The 20,798-nt window shown below is 45.5% G+C and overlaps 1 protein-coding gene across 19 annotated transcripts in view, besides 3 other annotated features; it reads left to right on the forward strand.

Annotated features, from left to right (window-relative positions):
- Positions 1-20,798, forward strand: part of SNX29 (sorting nexin 29) — a 597,554-nt gene that overhangs the window by 369,142 nt on the left and 207,614 nt on the right. For all 19 annotated transcript variants that reach the window (XR_001752024.3, NM_032167.5, XM_017023874.2 and 16 more), the window contains one exon: positions 10,288-10,404. Coding sequence is in view for 18 of the 19 variants with exons in the window: in NM_032167.5 (NP_115543.3) it covers positions 10,288-10,404 (117 nt within the window). In the remaining variant the exon portion in view is untranslated. The remainder of the gene's footprint in view (positions 1-10,287; positions 10,405-20,798) is intronic.
- Positions 2,785-2,874: an enhancer, noted in NCBI's record as "active region_10467". NCBI's record gives its function as "activates an Ori minimal core promoter by ATAC-STARR-seq in GM12878 lymphoblastoid cells {active_cell/tissue: GM12878}" and the evidence as "EXISTENCE:reporter gene assay evidence [ECO:0000049][PMID:35858748]".
- Positions 2,995-3,044: a silencer, noted in NCBI's record as "silent region_7218". NCBI's record gives its function as "represses an Ori minimal core promoter by ATAC-STARR-seq in GM12878 lymphoblastoid cells {active_cell/tissue: GM12878}" and the evidence as "EXISTENCE:reporter gene assay evidence [ECO:0000049][PMID:35858748]".
- Positions 3,145-3,214: an enhancer, noted in NCBI's record as "active region_10468". NCBI's record gives its function as "activates an Ori minimal core promoter by ATAC-STARR-seq in GM12878 lymphoblastoid cells {active_cell/tissue: GM12878}" and the evidence as "EXISTENCE:reporter gene assay evidence [ECO:0000049][PMID:35858748]".

Consider the following 20,798-nt stretch of genomic DNA (forward strand, 5'->3'; position numbering starts at 1 on the left):
ATTTTTTTTTAAGTTTGGATTGTGGACAAATGTGAATGTGGACAGAATAGTAGAATGCACCTCTGTGTGCCCAGCACACAGTCCCGTCAGCTTCAGCAGCCACCAACCCAAGCCAGTCCCACTCCCCCCTCCCCACCGCCATTCCTAGTATTATTTTGAAGCAAATTGCAGACATCATGCAATCTAGTTTGTAAATGTTATTGAAGGATTTTAAGCAGTAAAGGGGTGTGATCCTGGGTTTTAGAAAGATCATTTGAGCGTCAGCTGGTGGCGGGGGCAGCAGGGAGGCGGTGGTGTTTGTCTAGGTGGGAGGGGGCTTCTGAACCTAGGTTTGGCCACAGGATGGAGGAGCGGGGACAGACCTTGGAGAGATGAAGGATGTAGATTCTACAGGACCAGTGGTACTGGACACTTCTGCTGGTGCCTCTTTAATGGATAATCATGGTAATTAACATTTATGGAGTACTTTACGTAACCCTAAGTAAAGCACCTCTTTCTTTTATTATTTAAACCTCACAAAAGCCCTTTGACATTTGCATCGTTGTTAATGTGATTTTATGGATGAGAAACTGAGGCCCAGAGAGGTGGAGGTAAGTTGCCCAAAGTCACATCTAGGGAGTCAGGAATGGTGGGTTTTAATCCCAAATGGCCTGCCTCTGGCGTTCGCACCACGCCGCACACCCTCTCCCGTACTGCTCTCACAGGACAGGTGTGAATTGGGGAACCCGCTTAAAGACCCTCACAGCTGCATGAGTGCCTCTTGTGTGTTCTTCTTAAAGGAACACACCTTTCAGCAGAGGGCTGGGGCTCCAGGTTTTGTTTTTTGCTTTCTTTCCCCTGTCATTGCTCACCAACCACCAGGAAGGTGTTGGCTGCTATTGTAACATGGTCATTTCTGTGGATTCTGCCTTGGCTCTTGGAGGGCTGTTGTAGGGGCCAGGAGAGCATCATTGTCTCCAGGGGGGTAGCAGCTGCTGCTCTATGAAGCCTCCCTCCCTGGCTTGCCTGTGTATATTCTGAAAGGCCACATGTCGGGAGAAATGATGACCAACATTGGGGCCTGAGACCTGGCAGCCCCGTGGCCAAGCGATGACGGTCACCTAAACCTCTGCTTCTCAGAGGCGTCCCCTTACTAACTGAGCTGTTTTTAGTGATGGGTGTTGTCCCTCTTTAAACTGTAATCCCATCCTGATGTGTGTAAGCATTACCTCTTGCTATCTCAGTGTTCTGAGTGCTGAGGGGCTTGTTGCAGAGGTGATCAAGGGAACCTTTGAAATGTGAAGTTATCACCAGGGTTACTTAAAAGCCTCTGCTTAGTGACTCTGCAGACAGAGCCTACACAGCACTGTCTCGGTGGCACTTCAGGATGATCTGCCCCACAGGTCTCAGTTGAATTTATTACATGGTGGCTTTATGGTGCGGCATTGAGGAGGATGAGTCCCGAGATTCCAGAGCACCTGGCTCATCAGGGCAAGCCTGAATAACTTCCTGGGGCCAGCCGTCCCCACAGCAGAACCAAAGCAAAATGTGTATTGGAAGGAAGAAAGAAACAGGAGAGACTCCAAAGATGGGAGATGCAGGACCATGAGCCTCCATGCAGGCTCTGGAGCCAGACTGACCACCTCCCTCCCTTCCAGACTGCATGACTTGGGACATTCGAGTCACCCTTCTGAGCCTCAGTTTTCCTTATCTGTAAAATGGGGGTAAATATACACCTCCCAGGCTTGTAGTGTCTGCTAATATGTAAAACACTTAGAGTGCTATCAGACCCATAGCAGGTGCTCATTCTGTTACATCCTGTCCACATCATGGCAGGTACTGGTGACTGCCCGAGAACTCTTTCATCCCTTTGTACCTCGTGACAAACCTGTACAATAGGTGACAATAACCTCATTTGACAAATAAGATACCAGGAATCAGAGCTGGGTGTGGTGGGTCATGCCTATAATCGTAGCACTTCGGGAGGCTGAGGCAGGAGGATTCCTTGAGTCCAGGAGTTCAAGACCAGCCTGAGAAACGTAGCCATATCCTGTCTTTACAAAAAAAAAAAAAAAATAGGTGAGCATGGTGGCACATGGCTGTAGTCCCAGCTACTTGGGAGGCTGAGACAGGAGGATTGCTTGAACCCAGGAGGTCGAGGCTGCATGAGCTGTGATTGCACCACTGTACTCCAGCCTGGGCAACAGAATAAGACCTTGTCTCTGGAAAACAAAATTAAAAAAATAGGGTACCAGGAATCAAAGACGTGTGATTCTTTACACAAGGTCATCCAGCAGTGAGTAGACAGGACCTGGATTTGACCTCCAGGGCCTCATTTTTCTCCTTGACATGGAACATCTGGAAGTCATGTCTGCCAGTCTCCTGGAATGTCTTCATGCTGGGATTTTCGTTTGAAGCTGTTGTCGGTGTTGCCTTCACCTGAAGCAGAAACCATTTTGGAGAAGGCTTACCCTAGCTGCTGGGGAGCTCCTAGACTCTTCTCTGGGAGTCTCCTTTGGCCTTGCATTGGCCGAGGTTCTTACTTACTCTAGGTGCCCCTTCCCTTACTGCTAGGGTCCCCCTGAGGGGGATGTGGGAGCAGCCAGAGCCCACATGGCTTTTCCCCTCTGCCTGCTGATGGCAGCCATTCACTGTGGCGTTGACAGCGCCTTTCCCCGGCTCTGTGTGTGTGTACATGTGTGTGTGTGTGACAGTGTCCCTTACCTTTGAGATGCTCCCAGCCCTCCATCCCTGGCTCAGCACCCTTCCAGGTCCTCTGCTCTTCACTGGTACCTTGAGATGCTAGCTCAGCATCACAGTGATGGCGTATGCTGAGAGGGAGGAGAGAGGAGTGTGGCCACAAACACAGGCTGGGGAATCCGAATCCCAGTTCTGCTGCTTACTTCCTGTGTGGTCTTGGACAAGTTGCACACCCTTTCTGTGCCTCAGTTTTCTTAGCTACAAAATTAGGGACGGTAACACCACTCACCTCCCAGGGGAGTTGTAGGGTACAGGTGAGTACTGCTCGGAGAGGAAGTGGAACATTCCTCGTGCGCAGGGAGTGCCCCCTGAGTCTGCCCACCCCTCCACACTGTCACCATCGCCCCTCTGGGAAGACAGCGCCCTTAGTTTACAGAACACTTCCCCATTCCTCAGCTTGTTTAAAAGTCTTGTGGCCTCCCGGTAGAGGAGCAGAGAGCGCTGAATTAAAAGCAGGAAGCTTGGTGTGTAGTTGTGGCTCTGTTAGGGAGTAAAATAAACTGTGTAGCTTTAGACAGGCCACTTGCCCCCCGCCAAGCCTACATTTCCTCAAATAGGCACAGTGTTTCTCTTCCTGGGTTATTTATTTGTTGCCTGAAAGGCCATGTGACCAGAACAGCATGGGCTTTGGAGCCCTAATAACTGGGATTCAGATTTCACTGTCACTCCCTGGACCCACCGTGCCAAGGTCAAAGAGAGCTATGGCTACTAGAATTCCCTGAGGATTTCCTGTGACTCTGTGTCTAGTGCTAGATCTGGACACCCATTATTTCAATGAACATTTCTAGTTTTCTTAGTTTTCAAGGCTAAATGGACACTGTAAGACAATGTACAGGTTGAGCATCCCAAATCCCAAAATCCCAAATTCAAAATATTCCGGAAGTCAGCATATTTTGAGTGCTGACATAATGCTCAAAGGAAATGCTCATTGGAGCATTTGGATTTCAGATTTTCAGATTTGGGATGCTCATCCTGTAAGTATAATGCAAATACTCCAAAATCCAAAAAATTCAAAATCCAAAATACTTCTGGTCCTGAGCATTTTGGATAAGGGATACTTGTATAGGCATCTAAAAGAATGACAGGCGTTGATAGCATTGGTTTTATCTCATTTTTCTTTTCAACTCTCTTGAATTTTATCCAAATGTGTCTGCAGTTTGGCTTTTTTTCATTATTTTTTATACTTGTTTTTCATAATTATTAATGCAAGAAATTGCTTCAGACACAGCACTTATAGGTCAATGCTTCTAAAACTATGGGAACCAGTTTTCTTTTTTAAAAAACTTTCAATTCATTGCAGAATGATATTTTGCTAAATCACCAAAAAACAGTCTAGAAAAACCCTGAAGCTCCTGTTTCACAGCAATATGAAATTGCTTGAAACATTTCTAAATGCTTGCTTCCAGTTTCTTTCCTCCTCTGATGTTATACTGGTAGAAAACAGGTGGCACACCCACACCAGTTTGTGGGCCACCCTGTGCATGTCACTGTCATAGAGTCACTTGCCGTGTGTGTGTGGCACTTGCTGTGTCATTATTGAGGTAGCAACACTGCATGTGACAGTTACAGTTGGCCCTCTGTATCTGCGACTCTGCATCTGTGATTCAACCAACTGGGGAGCAAAAATACCGGGCGGGGAGAATGCATCTGTACTGAACGTGTACAGACTTTTTTCCTTCTCTTTATTCCCTAAACAATATGGTAGAACAATTATTTACATAGCACTTACATCATATCAGGTACTGTAAGTAATTTAGAGATGATTTAGAGTATACAGGAGGAGGTGTGTAGGTTCTATTGCAGATACTAAAACATCATTTAATAGAAGGTACTGGAGTGCCCATGGATTTTGCTATCCGTGTGGAGTCCTGGGACCAATCCGCCACCCATACCGAGGGATGACTGTACCGCCATCCGCTGTGGGCAGGCAGGGTTCATGCCATTTTCTTCTGGCTTGTGGCTTTGTTCACATCAGCGAGAGTTCAGAGGTGGAGAGGTGACAAGTGGAGGAGCTTCTGCAACGTCCCCGTTTTACAAATGAGGAAGAGGAAAACTGTTTCCTACAAGTAGGGAATGGCCCAACTGCCGTTCAAAGCTGAGTCTGTGAAATGCTCCTTTTGTGTTTACCAGTGGCTCTCAACTCTGACTGATCATTACAGTCACCGTGGGCTTTAAAAAGTACTTCTTTGAGGTCCTTCCCCTCAGTCTACTGAATCAGAATTTCAGGGGCCAAGACCCAGAAATCCGCATTTTTCAGAAGCCCTCCCAGTGACTAGTGATCAGCTTGGGTTGGGAGCCACGAGTCTAAACTATGTCACTTCCCTCTACTCTGCAGTACAAATGAATTGTCCTTAACCACCAAAGGGATCATCTTCCTACCATATCCCAAGAGGGAGTGCAAAGAGCACAGATAGTAGGGCCATTAAGGTGGAGGTTCAAATCCCCACTCTGTCACTTCCTTGTCCTGACATTTGAGGCTTATAAGCCAACCTCCCTTTGCCTCATTGGTAAGGAAAGCATGCCAGCCCTGCAGGGGGATTGTAGGAATTACATGAGCTGGTGCACCTAATGCCTATAAGAGGCCTGACACTTAGTTGGTGCTCCGGAGTGTGTGAACGCAAAGTGGGGACTGTCTAGGTTCACTTTTTAACAAAACAGGTGCAATGCCATCATCACAGAAAGAGGCTTCAGGCCCCTCCCCACAACCAGAGTAAACTGGGCCTGAAAACGGGTTGTGAGTTTTATAAAACGTAACAGATTCTAAGGCATCGAAGTGAATAATCTTGGAGAGTTTTGAGTATGTGACCCCCAAAGAGCCTCAGTTGCTATTGAAATTTTGGGGGGTGTCTTGATCTAATTAATCAAGAAGCATCTAATTTGTTAGCTGGAGGAGGGTGAAGCATGATTTACTTGAATGTGATTAGATGGAGGGAACATTCTGATATGAAAGGAAATGCCAGAGGCGTTTTTGAAAAATTTGTAATCCTTTTCTGATTTGGCAGGTAATTATGATAATTCCTGGTATTTTTACAGACTTAAAAGTTTTCTCACAGCCACATTATTTTTGGAGATCATCTTTCCTGATACTCCAGCTGGAAGGAATTACTCCATCTCCTAAAGCTCTGAAGGCATCATTTTCCAAAGCCCAACTCAAATGTCACTTTCTTGGTGGTGCTTTCCCCCATCTTTTAGGCCAGGGCTACCAAATAGGCATCATCTTGCTGGGCAACACACTGATTGGTTATGACTGCCTAGGTATCTTCTTGAGGAACAGTGATTGATTAGTGCTGTCTGCCAAGGGAACAGCGGGCAGGGGAGTAGTGGCATCCTGAGATACTTACCCAGTCCCCTTTGATAGGCATTGAGGTGGATCCCAGCCATTTGGAGTTAAACTTGTATTTTGAGCTCACATGCAAGTAGAGAGGCAGGATTTCTGCCCAGCCATGATTTGTTAAATCGAAGGTGAGTGATTTAAAAAATTTGATAGACTTGGAACCCACCCAAATGTCCAACAATGATAGACTGGATTAAAGAAATGTGGCACATATAGACCATGGAATACTATGCAGCCATAAAAAATGATGAGTTCATGTCCTTTGTACGGACATGGATGAAGCTGGAAACCATCATTCTCAGCAAACTATGGCAAGGACAAAAAACCAAACACCGCATGTTCTCACTCATAGGTGGGAGTTGAACAATGAGAACACATGGACACAGGAAGGGGAACATCACACACCGGGGACTGTTGTGCGGTGGGGGAAGGGGGGAGGGATAGCATTAGGAGGTATACCTAATGCTAAATGATGAGTTAATGGGTGCAGCACACCAACATGGCACATGTATACATACGTAACAAACCTGCACGTTGTGCACACGTACCCTAAAACTTAAAGTATAAAAAAAAAAATTTGATAGATGTTGCCAAATAGGCAAGTTACTTAAACTTCTTGAATCTTCTACCTTCTCTCCAGCCCAAAAGATGAAACCCAGATGATGACTCATAGTCTTTGCACCTCGTTAACTGATAAGTTGTGCACCTTGCAAGCACAAGTTCAGAACCACAACTTCTGCTGGCTAGGTGGTGTCCTTGGGCCTTTTGGAGAATCAAGGCTTCATTCCTGGTCCTCTGTCCCTTGCTGGGCTGGGTTTGTGGCTGTGTCAGCCCTGGTCTTTGTATCTCCACCTGGCATTTACTTTTGATTTGTCACTGTCATAGTGTTGTCAAATGGCATCTCCTCCTTAACTACCTGCAGATGGATTAATTTTCATGAAATACAACAACTGAGGATAGAAGGAAGCACATCAGACTCTCAAACTGATGATGTCAGGACACAAGTGCCTGGTGGGGATATAGGCGTGGGATATAGGCGTTGGATATGGCATGGGAGGCTGCCTGGCATGTCCCAAGGCTCATTAGATAGGTGACTCCCGAATGTTAACTCTTGGAGGGGTGGGCCTTCCCTGACACCCTGTCTTCTCTCCGAGTCACTCTAGCATAATTTACCAAATGTCAAAGGATGTGAACTGTGTGGCTCTCCTTTCTCCTCCCTAAGATCCTAGCACTGTGCCTGGAAGATGGCTAGCAACTCTGTGGTGCTCTTGCTTCGGGGCACACTGAGTGCTCCCCACAGCATTTCTATCTCCTTGGTGTGGCACATCATGGCCTTTCTCCATCTGGCCCCTGGACACCTACTTGTCTGCCACTTCCTCCATGTCTCCTGTCATGATCACCCATGTCATAAAACCAGCTCTCATCCACTGGGAACTTATCCTGCCCCAGATGTGCTGCCAAGCCTGCTAAGTGCGGCATCTCTTGCCATCCTCACAGTGGCCTGGTGAAATGGGTGTGGTTTTTAATGCCCATTTCATAGACGCACAGCCACAGGCTCATACCAGAACACACACACTGTCAGTAACTGATCAAGCCCAGGCCCATCTTGCACCAAGGCCCGATGCCTGAACCACCTCTCTCCGCCTCCTCCCTGCCAGCCTCTGGTGCCGGCATTTGCACCTGTAGTTTCCTCCACTGGTCATACCTTTCTCTTCCTTGTCTCCAGGGTGACCTCTTATTGCTCAACATGTTTATGGAGCAGAGAAGGCCTGTGGGGACTGAGTGAGTTAGTGAGACCCCAAGAGGGAGAAGGGGGATTGGAGAGAAAGGCTGGGGCTGCATCTTGAAGGAGTTTGGGTTTTACTCTTAAAGCAGTGGAAGCACTGAAAGTATTAAACAGCAGGTGACAACATTAGATGTTACTTTGGGAAGATCATTGTGCCTGCTTGGAGGAGAATGGATTGGAGGGCACCTGTTCTCTCTCTGTCCTATTTTCTGTGGGTGTTGAAAAATAAGAAGGTCAGATGAGAACCCATAAGTGCCCTCAAAGCCTAATAAAAATTCCAAGAGGCAGTGGTTGTGCAGCCTACTTTTATTTTTGTGATAACAGGAACTCTTTGTGATCTCACATTCTCTCTTCTGAGGCTCTTTCTGAGTCTTGAATTTATTTCTAGTTATACTGGAGTTTGGAAATAGTTATTCGAGGAACAGTAAGCTCAGTGTGGTTTATGTAAGATGAAAGCTGTTGATACCAATGGCTGTAGGTAGGGATATGTGATATAAAAACTCAGAGTTTCAGAGGTTAGCTTAGTAACAATGAACATCATAGTTTTAATGGTTGCTGGAAATTATTTGATCAAATTTTGTCTCTTAAGTTGCATGGGATTTTTCCTTTTCATTCCCTAGTGAAATGAAAGATTTGCCTGATGTGGTCAAGTTCTGCTCTTCTGGCTGTGGAAGAGCACCAGGGTTTTGACAGCTTATGGTAAACACAACTTGGATCTGGGACGTTTCGGTGTTTCCTGCATTTATGGAAAATTGCAGTAACACTCTGGCTCCCACTGCAAAACAAAACAGAAACAAAACACAAAACCCTGCTTGGCTTTGGAAATGGCAGTGGCATTTATTTAAGGCTCACATTTTGTGGGGGCACATTGGCAGGTATTTAGCAGTAATATCGGCAGCTGTGGATTTCTGGTTTGCTGCGTGGTGAATGGATTCACAGCCCAGAGGAAGCTCGTGGGGGGTTTATGTGATTTCTGTGTGGAGGAGGCACAAAGGCATTATTAGCAGTACTGTGTTTGTTTGTTAAAGGCCCAAAGACGATCGACTCAACCTTTTCTTATCCAAAAGGAATAAGGTAACAAAGGAATATTAATTTTACATCTGTACAAAGAAAAAAGCTGGCAGAAAGGCTCAGTGACTTATTCTGCCTTTGTTAATTGCATGGTTCTTGCAGTATCTTTTGTGTCATTTTCACTTACTATTTCATATTTCACACTGGTTTGAAAGCGTCTGTACCTCAGGGACAGAAGGGGGTACCTTTGGAGGGGAACTCACAGAGCAAGTTACTGGAAGCCTGATATATTTCATGTTGATTGCACAGTGGCTCCCTTGTATTTCAGATGAAGAATTTTAATTCTTTATAAAGGGTCTAAGTGGCTTCTCTCACTGATGAAGGGGAGCTCAAATAAAAGTAGAAAGAATGAGAAGGAAACATACCCCTTTGGCTATCATTCATATCTTGGCGGATTCTCTTCTGTGAGTTACCCTTCATACAACAACAAAAAAAGAGGGCTCCCTTTTATTCCTCCTCAGATACGACACACATTTAGCGACCCCTGTTTTTTCCACAGAGCTTCTCCCTGTATCCCTCCTTTACTCTGACAGTGTCTTCTGTAGCTCATGTAAAGTACTTACTGCAAATGGCCTGGTATTGTTTTCGCACTGCATACAGTGTAGTTAGTGCTTAGGTGAGTCCTGGGGCGTTGGAGGGGTGATCTCTTGGGAAGGTTAGGGAGCTAGGGGTCTAGATAAGGATCTGCCTGACCTCGCATTCTGGGGACTTCTCTTAAAGATGCTTGCAGGATTCTTCCTTCAGGGTTCTTGGAGAGTGTAGCAGGATTACATCTCACATTTCTCTAAAAGGCTTAAGTAAATTATAGTTGAATAGTCTGTACATTGACTATAGACCATCTGTAGTCACCTCCAGTTTTATTTATTGGGGATCAGCTGAGAATATCGAATAATTCAATTTGGAAAAATTCAGCAGCTTACAGCTGGCCCAAATGGGTTGCATGTGGGCAGAGTGGAGTGGCAGGACCACAGCGCATAGCCAGGGCTCTGGTGTCAGTTCCTTGTTAGATGTCTGACCTTGACAGAGCGAGATCTTATTAAAAAAAAAAAAAAAAAAAAAAAAAAAAAAAAAGAGAGAGGAAAAAAAAAGCCCAAGGTCCAAACATGATCTGATACCATCCTATTTGGACCATAACTTCATACTGTTGACTCTGAAGTGTCGGTATGAAGCAGGTCAAGACACATTGAGCTTATGGGTGGATTGCATGGTTCACAGGTAAGCAGTGTCATTGACTCCAGCCCCAACAGCCTACAGATGTTTTGCTGACAGGTGTCAGGAAGGAGAGTCCAGAGAAGGCGGGATTGGTCCCTGGGGAATGTCTGCCTCTAAGCCTCACCTTTCCGTGCTTGTGTTCCAGGTGGCAGAGATGCATGGCGAGCTGATTGAGTTCAACGAGCGCCTGCACAGGGCCCTGGTAGCCAAGGAAGCCCTCGTGTCCCAGATGAGGCAGGAGCTCATCGATCTCCGGGGACCGGTGAGTGTTTCCCCAACCCTGTGTGTCTGTCAAGCCTCTGCTGCCCACAGCCCAGTAGAAAAGCACAGAGACTCACAGAGCAAGCAACCATGCATCCACTGGCCAGATTTGCCCACATTCACCTCTGCCACATTTGCTTTTTATTTTTTATGGGGAGGGGGTAGAATAAGTAAAATGTTACAAGTTCTGTTGAAGCAACATTTCCTGTTTCTCCTTCTAGTCATCTATAGTTAAAATTGGCATATAGTCCCCTCCCCCCGCAAACCCATCTTTCCATACTTTACTACATGGGTAAATTTCCATGAGCAGTAAACAGTCTTGGTTTTGTGTTGTTAACTTTTACCTACATGGTATTACTGTTGTATGTATCTGTTTGCCACTTGTTTTTGCTTATTTGTTTTTAATTGAATATTGTGGTTTGAGGAGTAATCCACGTACATCAGGTACAGGGCTTTTCAACCACAGCACTGCTGATATTTTGGATCATGTGATTCTTTATTGTGAGGGCTGTTCTGAGCATTGTGGGATGTCTAGCAGCGTCCCTGGGTTCCACCCACTAGAGGCCAGTAGCTTCACCTCGCCAGGTTTTGACAACCACAAATGTCTCCAGATATCGCCAGATGTCCTCTGCATTTCAGAACCTGGCAGAATCACCCCTGGTTGAGATTCGCTGATCTAGATCACCTACTTGCTTGGTTCTGTAGTTCTCTGTTGAATGAAATAGCACAATATTTTGGATTCAGTAGTGTCTTTGTAAACATTTAGGATGTCTCCAGTATTTTGCTATTACAAACCACAATGCCGTGAGCATCTAACACTTGTCCTTTTGTGCAGACATATAATAGCTTCCTCATTTTACAACTTCTTTATTATGTAAAATGCCCACATTCAGGCAGGCTGTGTAATGCACGCTCATATATCCTTTGTCAGGGTGAACAATTATCCGTCACGGCCAATTGTGTTTCAGGTTATCTACATCTGCTTCCTCCTCCTATATCATTTCAATCAAATTCTGGGTATTATTTCATGTATAGACATCTTTGTATTTATCTCTAAAAATACAAAAAAAAATACAATATCCTTATCACCCCCATTACCAGTAATTGCTTTGTGTCATCACAGTCAGTGTTCAAATTTCCAATTGCCTCATACCTTTGAATAGTTTTTTTGATTCAGGATCCATGTGAGACCCATGCATTGTAATTGGTTAATATGTCTCTATGTTGCTTTTCCTTTAAATTTTAAAAATTAGGGTAAAATATACCTAACATAACTTGTACCATTTTAACCATCGTTAAGTGTACAGTTGAGTGGCATTAAGTACGTTCACACATTTTGAGGCCATCGCCACCACCCCTCTCCAGAACTTTTCCATCTTCCCCGACTGAAGCTGTCCCCTTTAAACAGTCAGTGCCTGCTCCCCACTCCCCCTAGCCCTTGGCGACCATTCTACTTTGTTCCTCTATGAATCCACTACTGTCTTAGGTTTCTTTTCTTCAACAGAGTCTTCTCTCATCTCTCTCTCTCCCCTTCTCTCTCATAATTTGTTTACTGAAGACACTGGATTTGCCTTACAGAGGTTTTCAACCCCTCAGCTTTGCTGATGGTATCTCTGTAGTGTGATTCGATATGCTTCTTCATTTCCTGTATTTCCTTAAATTAGAGGCTTGGATTCAGGTTTAATTTTGCTGATTATATGACTGTGTCGTTGGGTGGTGTTTTCTGTCAGGAGATGCCTAATGTTTGCTATCTTTTTGTGATATTAACAGCCATCTCTTATCACTTCCTGGGTCCATTACACAAACGTTTCTTTAAGGTCAGTACCTAAGTGTGAAATTGCGGCGTTTTAGTGTATGGCGTCTTAAACTTTACTGAGTTTTGCCATTTTATAAAGTAAAAGCACCTATTTATTAACCCCCTGTTTGTGTGCAAAAGTTCCTGCTGACGCTTTTACATCCCTGCTGTGATATTTTATATATTTGTGTTTTCATCCGCTGTTCCTGGCCCATAATTCCCGTAGCCCTTGTTGTAATGTTGGAGGCACTTTAGGCCTCAGAAGAAGGGCAGATCACTTGAGATCAGGAGTTCGAGACCAGCCTGGTCAAAATGGTGAAACCCCGTCTCTACTAAAAATACAAAAATTAGCCAGGCATGTGGTGGGCGCCTGTAATCCCAGCTACTCAGGAGGCTGAGGCATGAGAATTGCTTGAACCCAGGTCAGAATCTCTCTGACCTTCTCCTGCTCTCTTTTCACCTCTTCCTTTTTCTACCCAAGGCAGGACTCTAATCTTCCCCTGCTATCCATAAAGAAATTGACCCCTATTGTCTGATTGTAGGTCACAAGACCCCCATTTCAGAAGGGGTCCAGCCCCGCACCCTGGAGGAAAGAATACTGCACAGAGAAGCCAGGAAGCATCTGGACAGACAGGCCTTGCAGGGTCTCCCCACTCAGTCTGTTCGTCTTAGACCATACCCTTTTTATCCAATCACGTTGTTAATCTTGATTATCCAGTGATGTCTCCATAAAAGGCCCAGGAAGACAGGATTCAGGGAGCTTCCAGGTAGCTGAATAAGTGGAGATTCCTGGAGGTTGATACATGGGGAGAGCATGGAAGCTCCGCACCGCTTCCCATACCTTGGCCTGTGCATGTCTTCACTGTATCCTTTGTAATATCCTTTATAATCACCAGAAAATGTGTTTCTCTGAGTTCTGTGAGCTGCTCTAGCAAATTAATGGAACCCAAGAAGGGGGTTGTGAGATCCGCATTTTATTGCTAGTGAGTCAGAAGTACAGGTAAAATAACCTGGGGCTTGTGGTTGGCATCAGAAGTGAGGGGCGGTCTTGTGGGACTGAGCCTCACCCTGTGGGATCTGATGCTGTCTCCAGGTAGATGTGTCAGAATTGAATCAGAGGACACCCAGCTGGTGTCCGCTGCAGAACTGATTGTTTGGTGGTAGGGAGAAACCCCCACACATTTTGTCCCAAGAAGTCGTCTTTGTTGATGGTTGTGGTATGACAGCAGAAGGAAAATGGTTCATGTTTTCCCACTTGTACCTACCAATACCTTTTTGCATGAGATGGGTTTAACTTGCATTTCCCTGACCACAGATGAGGTTGCCTATCTTTTCATTTGCCTGTTCCCCATTCTGGGTTTCACATATGACTTCTCACAGCCTTTGTCCATTTTTCTACTGCACAGTATTTGGTTTTCTTGCTTTCTCACTGTTTTTATATCTCCTTTTCAGTTACATGTATTTTACATATCTGCTCCTAGTCTTTGGCTTAATCATTCACTTTAAAAGTAGAAAATTTAAAACATACGTAAAAGCAGAGGGAATGATGTAACAAAAACCCATGTCCCTATCACTCGGCCTCAGTAATAATCAACTCAAGGTCATTCTTGCTTTGCTCATACTCTACTCATTACTTCTCAACTCACATTATTTGGATGTATATCCAATCCATCTTATGCTTTCATTCATAAATACCCAATATTTACTGCTAAAATATATTCACAATACCATTATCACACCTATTTTTATTTTATTTATTTATTTTTTTGAGACTGAATCATGCTGTATCGCCCAGGCTGGAGTGCAGTGGTGCGATCTCAGCTCAATGCAACCTCCGCCTCCTGGGTTCAAGCAATTCTCATGCCTCAGCCTCCTGAGTAGCTGGGATTACAGGCGCCCACCATTATGCCTGGCTAATTTTTGTATTTTTAGTAGAGACGGGGTTTCTCCATTTTGGCCAGGCTGGTCTCGAACTCCTGATCTCGAGTGATCTGCCCGCCTCGGCCTCCCAGAGTGCTGGGATTACTGGCGTGAGCCACCGCACCTGGCCTAACACCTATTGTTAACAGTAATTTCATGATATCATGAAATACCCAGTCAGTGTTCAATATTCTCCAGTTAGCTCAAAAGAGTTTTCCATGTCTTTGTGTTGATCAGGACCCTGATAAAGTTCATATAGTGCAGTTGGTTGGTGTGCCTCTTCAGGCTCTGTTAATTTGTAGATTCCCTTGCTGTCACTCTCTTTTTTCCCTTGTCTTTTTTGTCATTATTGTGGAAGACACTTGGCTCCTTGAACTGTAGGTTTTCCCAGTTAGGATTTTGCTAATTGCAATCCTATGGTGATGTTTGTCATGTTCCTCTGTCCCTTACCTTGCCTTTAAATTGGTCATTCACTCTGGAGGCTTGATGAGTTTCAGGTTTGGTTTTTTGCCCCAACGATGTCACAGGTGGTGGTGTGTGTTTCCATCAGGAGGCTCATAAATGTTGGTCTAGGAAAGCACTATTGGAGGTGCGAGTTCACACCAGACCCCATTTGTTTCAGTGGGGCCAGTATACAAATGTAATCCCCATCCCCCCACCCCCTACCGTATTGAAAGCCTAATAGTGCAGTCCCTGACTGAGTTTGCTTCCCTAATTCCTGACAGCTCCAAGACTTTGTACATGTTTTTGTGGATTTCTTTAAGTAGGTAGTTAGGAGTTTCCTTAAGAGGAAGCATATTTAGGAAGGACCTGTTGTATACTAAGAACCCTTTCAGGGAGGTGATATCATCTCCATTTTACAGGTTTACTGAGGTTCAGAGAAGCCTCCAGTCATTCTGTGAGTGTGTATGTAATAGAGCCTGGATTCAGACTCCGGTTTAATTACAAAGCCCATTTTCTTTCTCCAAGCTACACCAGCTCTAGAGAATTGCAGGAACGGGTATGGGAGAGGGGGTCCCCTTACGGTACCCATTTCCACCAGCCAAGGTTCCAGCATCCCTGCAGTGGCCCTGCCACCCGTGTTGCACATTAGAGACTTGGGCAGCATCTAATCTACCTCCTCTGAGAAAGGACAATGGGATGTGGGGATGGAGGCCTGGCTGTGACCTGTCTCCCAGTGTGAGTGGGGTAGGTCTTGAAGGTGGGCCAGCCTCTCTGTTGTCCCTGCCCAACACCAGGGGTCCCAGCCTACTCCAAGGCTAGCCTTGCAAGAGAGGGGCTCAGTGGGCAGTCAGGAACCAGGCAGTGGTCCCATTTCTTAGGACAGGTTCAGTGTCAGGTGGTAAATGGTAGGTGACTGTTGTCACTGTAGATAAATTTTTGGAGAGCAACGTCAGTGCATCATTCTCATTGTGGATAATAAAACCCGATTAACCTGTACAAATGAATAACTGCTGATATTAATAGCTAATATTTATTAATTGATATCAGTCAAAAATTTGGCTTCCCTCTTGTATATTAGTAATTCATTTAATCCTCACGTGGCCTAATAGTAATTAATATTATGATGGCCATTTTGCAGAAGACAAAGCTGAGACTCAGAAATGATGCAACTCTCCCAGCATCCCACACTGAGAAGTGGCACTTCTGGATCTGACTTAAAAAATTAAATTTTTGGTTTTTTAAATTTATTTTTTTCTTAAACTTTTTTTCATATTATACAATATGATATACTAATGGTAATATTTTTGCTTTTAACAGTTGGGAAGTATCAAAATTTTTAGACTCATGACAAACCTTAGCATCCCCATGCTAAGAAGTTAAGTAGTAAAAAAGGGTGAAATAAATTTCTTCCTTTCTCTTACCCCCTGATTTTCCTACCTGGAATCTGTAACTGTTACCAGTCTTGGGTTTCTCTTTCTAGGTATGAGTGATGCCTCAGTACACCGCTTTATTGCGCCTATACATGTTAATAACGAGCACATGCCTATACATGTTAATAACGAGCACATGCCTATACATGTTAATAACGAGTAGCCTGCTGAATTCCTTGTTCTGTGTCCTACCTTTCCTCATTTAACAGTGTGCTTTAGAGATCTTCTAATTTTACTTCACGAGTAGAATTGTTGTTCATTTTAAGAACCGTGTCTTGTTCCCTTGAACTGACAAAACCGTAATGGATTTCCCCAGGTCCCTGTTGGATGTTGCATAGTTTCCCGTTTTTGTTTTTACAGTAATGTTGGGATAGCATCCTGGGTGGAAATCCTCAGTGTAGATGAAATCCTCCCTTTAGCCTGGAAGGCTGGCTGGCAGTCCACAGGGCTCAGTTAGACTGGGTGAAAACCCAGAGATCTTGCCCTGCAGGACTCTTGGGGCTTTGGAAAGGGTGACCACCTCCTCCCAGCCTCCTCCACCTGCTGCAGGAATATCCCTTTTGAGGCTCAAAATCCTTTCAGAGGTCACGATGTAGTTCCAACAACGCGTTGGGCATCCAAATTAAGTATTTTCCCTTTTTATGAATTTGACAACTGAGTTGCAGAAGGATTTTGGCTGCTGCACTCCCCCCCCACCCCCCCCCCCACCAGTTTCTCCTCATGCTCCCCCAGGGTGCTGGACCTCCTGCCCTGTGCTGCCCCCCACCCAGGGCCTTTGTTCCTAGTGTTCCCTCGCCTGGAACACTGCCCAGTGCCAGGGCTGCATATCAGCTCAACGCTTCCTCAGGAATCCTCCCTGAAGCCCTGACAAGGTCACACTTTCCAAGTTGACTATGATGCTGACATGTGTCTCTCCCTTCCTGTCTTAATGTCATGTTACATTGATTTATCACTGATCAGTGTTATCTTTCCCGCGTCCACAAGGGCAAGTTTTTGTTTCTTTCTGCTCCCTTTGGGTTTCAGTGATTCACATGGTAGGTGTTCAGTAAATGTGGGTCAACTCATTGAGTGAATGAATGAATGTCACCAGTGGGCCCCCATGCCATGCCAGCCCATCTCTCCTCTGTGCCATGCTCCCTCTGCCCAAGTCTGATGCCCTGCAGGACAGAGACAGCCATTTACACAGAGGCAGCTCTCATCATCAGATCCTTTCCTCTGGCAGGCTGTGATGGCCAGAAGGGAGGAGCAAGTAAAACGGTCACTAAGGGCCTGAAGGCTGTCAGAAGAGCTTGCCATTTGGACCGGGTCCCCAGGGGATACCCCATTATTGCCTCAGGCCTGCTTTGGTCGTCATCTCAGAGTCAGACAGCCAGGGCAGAAGAAAGAAGGCCGTTTCCAGCTCAGTTTTCCTCCTGGAGTCGTCTTTTGTTTTTTTCTCTGGCTTTTCACTGTAAGAGGCATCTATTTATGGGAATCTCAGCCACTTCCCTCTTCCTTTCCATGGGGCCTGGATCCCTGACCACACTGGATTAGGCTTCCTCCCAGACACCAGGGTGTTCGAGTGACTCAGGGTCAGGACTGTCTACTTTAGGTGGAAACCCAAATCTCCTCTTCTATCTGCTGGGAATAAACATAGTGCTGACCATAGTGCGAGGTTCTGTGAGATTCTGCCAGTGAAACAGTGCTCTCTGTGCTGGCCCTCATGTCCCATTTCCGACTCCGATCCCCTGTGCCTAGCACCATTCCCAGCATGTAGTAGGTGCTCAGTAAATGTTTGCTACATGATGACTTCATTTTCATAGGGCAGAGGCTGAGTGCATAGACCAAATGATAATTCGGAAAAAAGAGATGAGCAGGGTTAGTTTCCTTTCAGTGGTATCTTTTTATAATGCAGGTTGAGTAGCTCTTTTCTGAAATACTTGGGACCACAAGTGTTTCAGATTTCTTTACATTTTGGAATATTTGCATTATACTTGTGGGTTGAGCATCCCTAATCCAAAAATCTGAAATCTGAGGTACTCCAAAATCCAAAATTTTTTGGGTGCCAACAGGATGCTCAAATGAGATTGGAACATTTTGGATTTCAGATTTTAGGATTAGGAATGCTTAACTTGTATCACTATATATACTTTACTTTTTTTTAGAGACAGGGTCTTGCTGTGTTGCCCAGGCTGGAGTGCAGTGGCACCATCATAGCTCGGTGTAACCTCAAACTCCTAGACTTAAGCAATCCTCCTGCCTCAGTCTCTGGAGTAGCTAGGACTACAGGTGTGCGCCACCAAGCCTGGCTTGTTTGTTATGTTATGTTATGTTATGTTATGTTATGTTATGTTATGTTATGTTATGTTATTTTTGTAGAGGCAGGCTCTCACTATATTGCCCAGACTGGTTTTGAACACCTGGCATCAAGCGATCCTCCTGCTTTGGCCTCCCAAATTGCTGGGATTATAGGTGTGAGCCACCAAACTTGGCCTGTGTATCCTTTTAAGCTAAGACACTTTTAAGGAACAGGAGTTTGGGATTAAGGATTGAATTTTTCTCTCTTCTTCTTTTTTTTTTTTTTTACTGTGAGTATTTTTAGGACTCTTATTATGTTTTTCCCCTTTGGTATAAGATGTGAATGAATGCTGGAGATTTTTACCTTTTAGCGGGATTTGATTACACTCTGGGAGAAGAGCTCCCGGTTTGAGTAAGAAATGGAGACAGGGAAATAGAACCTTGTAAGACTGCAAGTTATAGAGGTCAATTAAAGACACAGCGCGGTGAAAGCTAAAGGTGAAGCCACTCATTAAATGCAGTTTGTTCCCATGGTGGATGCAAACACGAGCTCACTTCATATAATGGACATTGGATTCCTCTTTATTTTGGTCCCACTGGCAAGGCTCTGTTTCTCTGTCCCGTTTCTGATCACCTCCACTTAAGCAGAAAAGATGGCCTGGCTTGGTAAGACTTGCTGCCTGTGGAACCACTGCCCTGACTCCAAGCATCCATGCTGTCGGCTCCTTCCCCACCACCTCCGCTCTCTCACTTGTCCCTTCCCTTGTCTGTTTGATGAGGGAACCACCCTTTGGCAGAGCTTTGCTGTGTGTTTGGTGTGCATTTTTTTCCTTGCACCCTCTAGGCAGTCCTTATAATTTTCTTATTAGGCCCATTTTTCAGCTGAGCAAATTGAGGTACAGAGAGGTTTTGTGACTCACCCAAAGGCACACAGCTTCATGGTAGCACCTGAATGTAAACCCAGGACTCTTTTGTTCCATACCACCACACTGCTCACTCTTTATTTTATGTTTTCCAATTTCAAGCAAAATATGGTGTCTGTTGTGCTCCAGGCACAGCACTCTGGATGGTTTTAAACATTCAGATACTTCTGTGGTGAAGCTCTTAAACATGCCCATTCTTCATCTGCGAAGTGAATCTCTCCCTTTCTTATCTCTCCTTCTCACTTCATACATCAGGATTTGTGTGTGTGTGTGTGTGTGTGTGTGTGTGTGTGTGTGTTTAGCATACTCATCACATGGTGTTTATGTCAGGCTCTTCGGAGGCCGGGCGTGGTGGCTCATGCCTGTAATCTCAGCACTTTGGGAGGCCGAGGCAGGAGGATCACTTGAGGTCAGGAGTTCGAGACCGGCCTGGCCAACATGGTGAAACCCCATCTCTACTCAAAATACAAAAATTAGCCATGCATGGTGGTGCGTGCCTGTAATCACGGCTGCTTGGGAGGCTGAGGCAGGAGAATCGCTTGAACCCGGGTGGCGGAGGTTGCAATTGAGCCGAGATCACGCAACTACACTCCAGCCTGGGTGACAGAGCAAGACTCCATCTCCAAAAAAAAAAAAGGCTCTTTGGAAACTTGTAATCTAGAGAAGGCAGAGTTGCCCAAAAGCAGAACAGTGGGCCGGGCGCGGTGGCTCACGCCTGTAATCCCAGCACTTTGGGAGGCCGAGGCAGGCGGATCATGAGGTCAGGAGATCGAGACCATCCTGGCTAACATGGTGAAACCCCGTCTCTACTAAAAATACAAAAAATTAGCCATGCGTGGTGGCGGGCGCTTGTAGTCCCAGCTACTCGGGAGGCTGAGGCAGGACAATGGCATGAACCCGGGAGGTGGAGGTTGCAGTGAGCAGAGATCGTGCCACTGCACTCCAGCCTGGGCGTCAGAGTGAGACTCTTGTCTCAAAAAAAAAAAAAAAAAAAAAAAAAAAATCAGAACAATGATTGAGTGGGGGGTTTGCATAGTTGCTTCATATATTTTTAAAAAAGGACCTGGGGTTCTGTGATGCAGTAAGCCTGAAAACTGTTGGATTAGAGATAGTTTGATAGTCTTCCTTACTGTGGGATTTCCCTCAAGGGTCACACACGGGGGTGCTCCGTGCTTCTCCAAAGGGATGGGCTAGGTACAGCAGCATTTCCCAAAATTATTTCCCCAAGGAACACTATTGCAGTCATTATGTTCCAGAATTATTTCCCTGAGGAACATCTTCTCTAAGAAGATGGTCATGGAGCTATTTTCCGACGAGTGCATCTGGGAAAGGTAGGGCCATTAAATGTCATGTTTTTTTATTGATGTACTAGCTAGCAGGGAGCTCATCAGAGCCTGCCTTATCTCATGAGCCTGCCCTGGCATGGAGTCTGCAGGGCCCGGAGGAGAGGAAGTGACATAGCGTGGCTGTGGGGTGCAGTGGGCCTGCCTGTGTTTAGTCCCAGGTCCAACTGGCCTCCCACCCACTCACCAGCCTGGTCAGAGTTTGGTCTAGAACAGCACTGCCTTTCCCAGGAACTTTGGGCCTCTGCCACCTGGGCTGTCTC

The sequence above is a fragment of the Homo sapiens genome, chromosome 16 (assembly GCF_000001405.40).
Source record: "Homo sapiens chromosome 16, GRCh38.p14 Primary Assembly".
Lineage (NCBI taxonomy): Eukaryota > Metazoa > Chordata > Mammalia > Primates > Hominidae > Homo > Homo sapiens.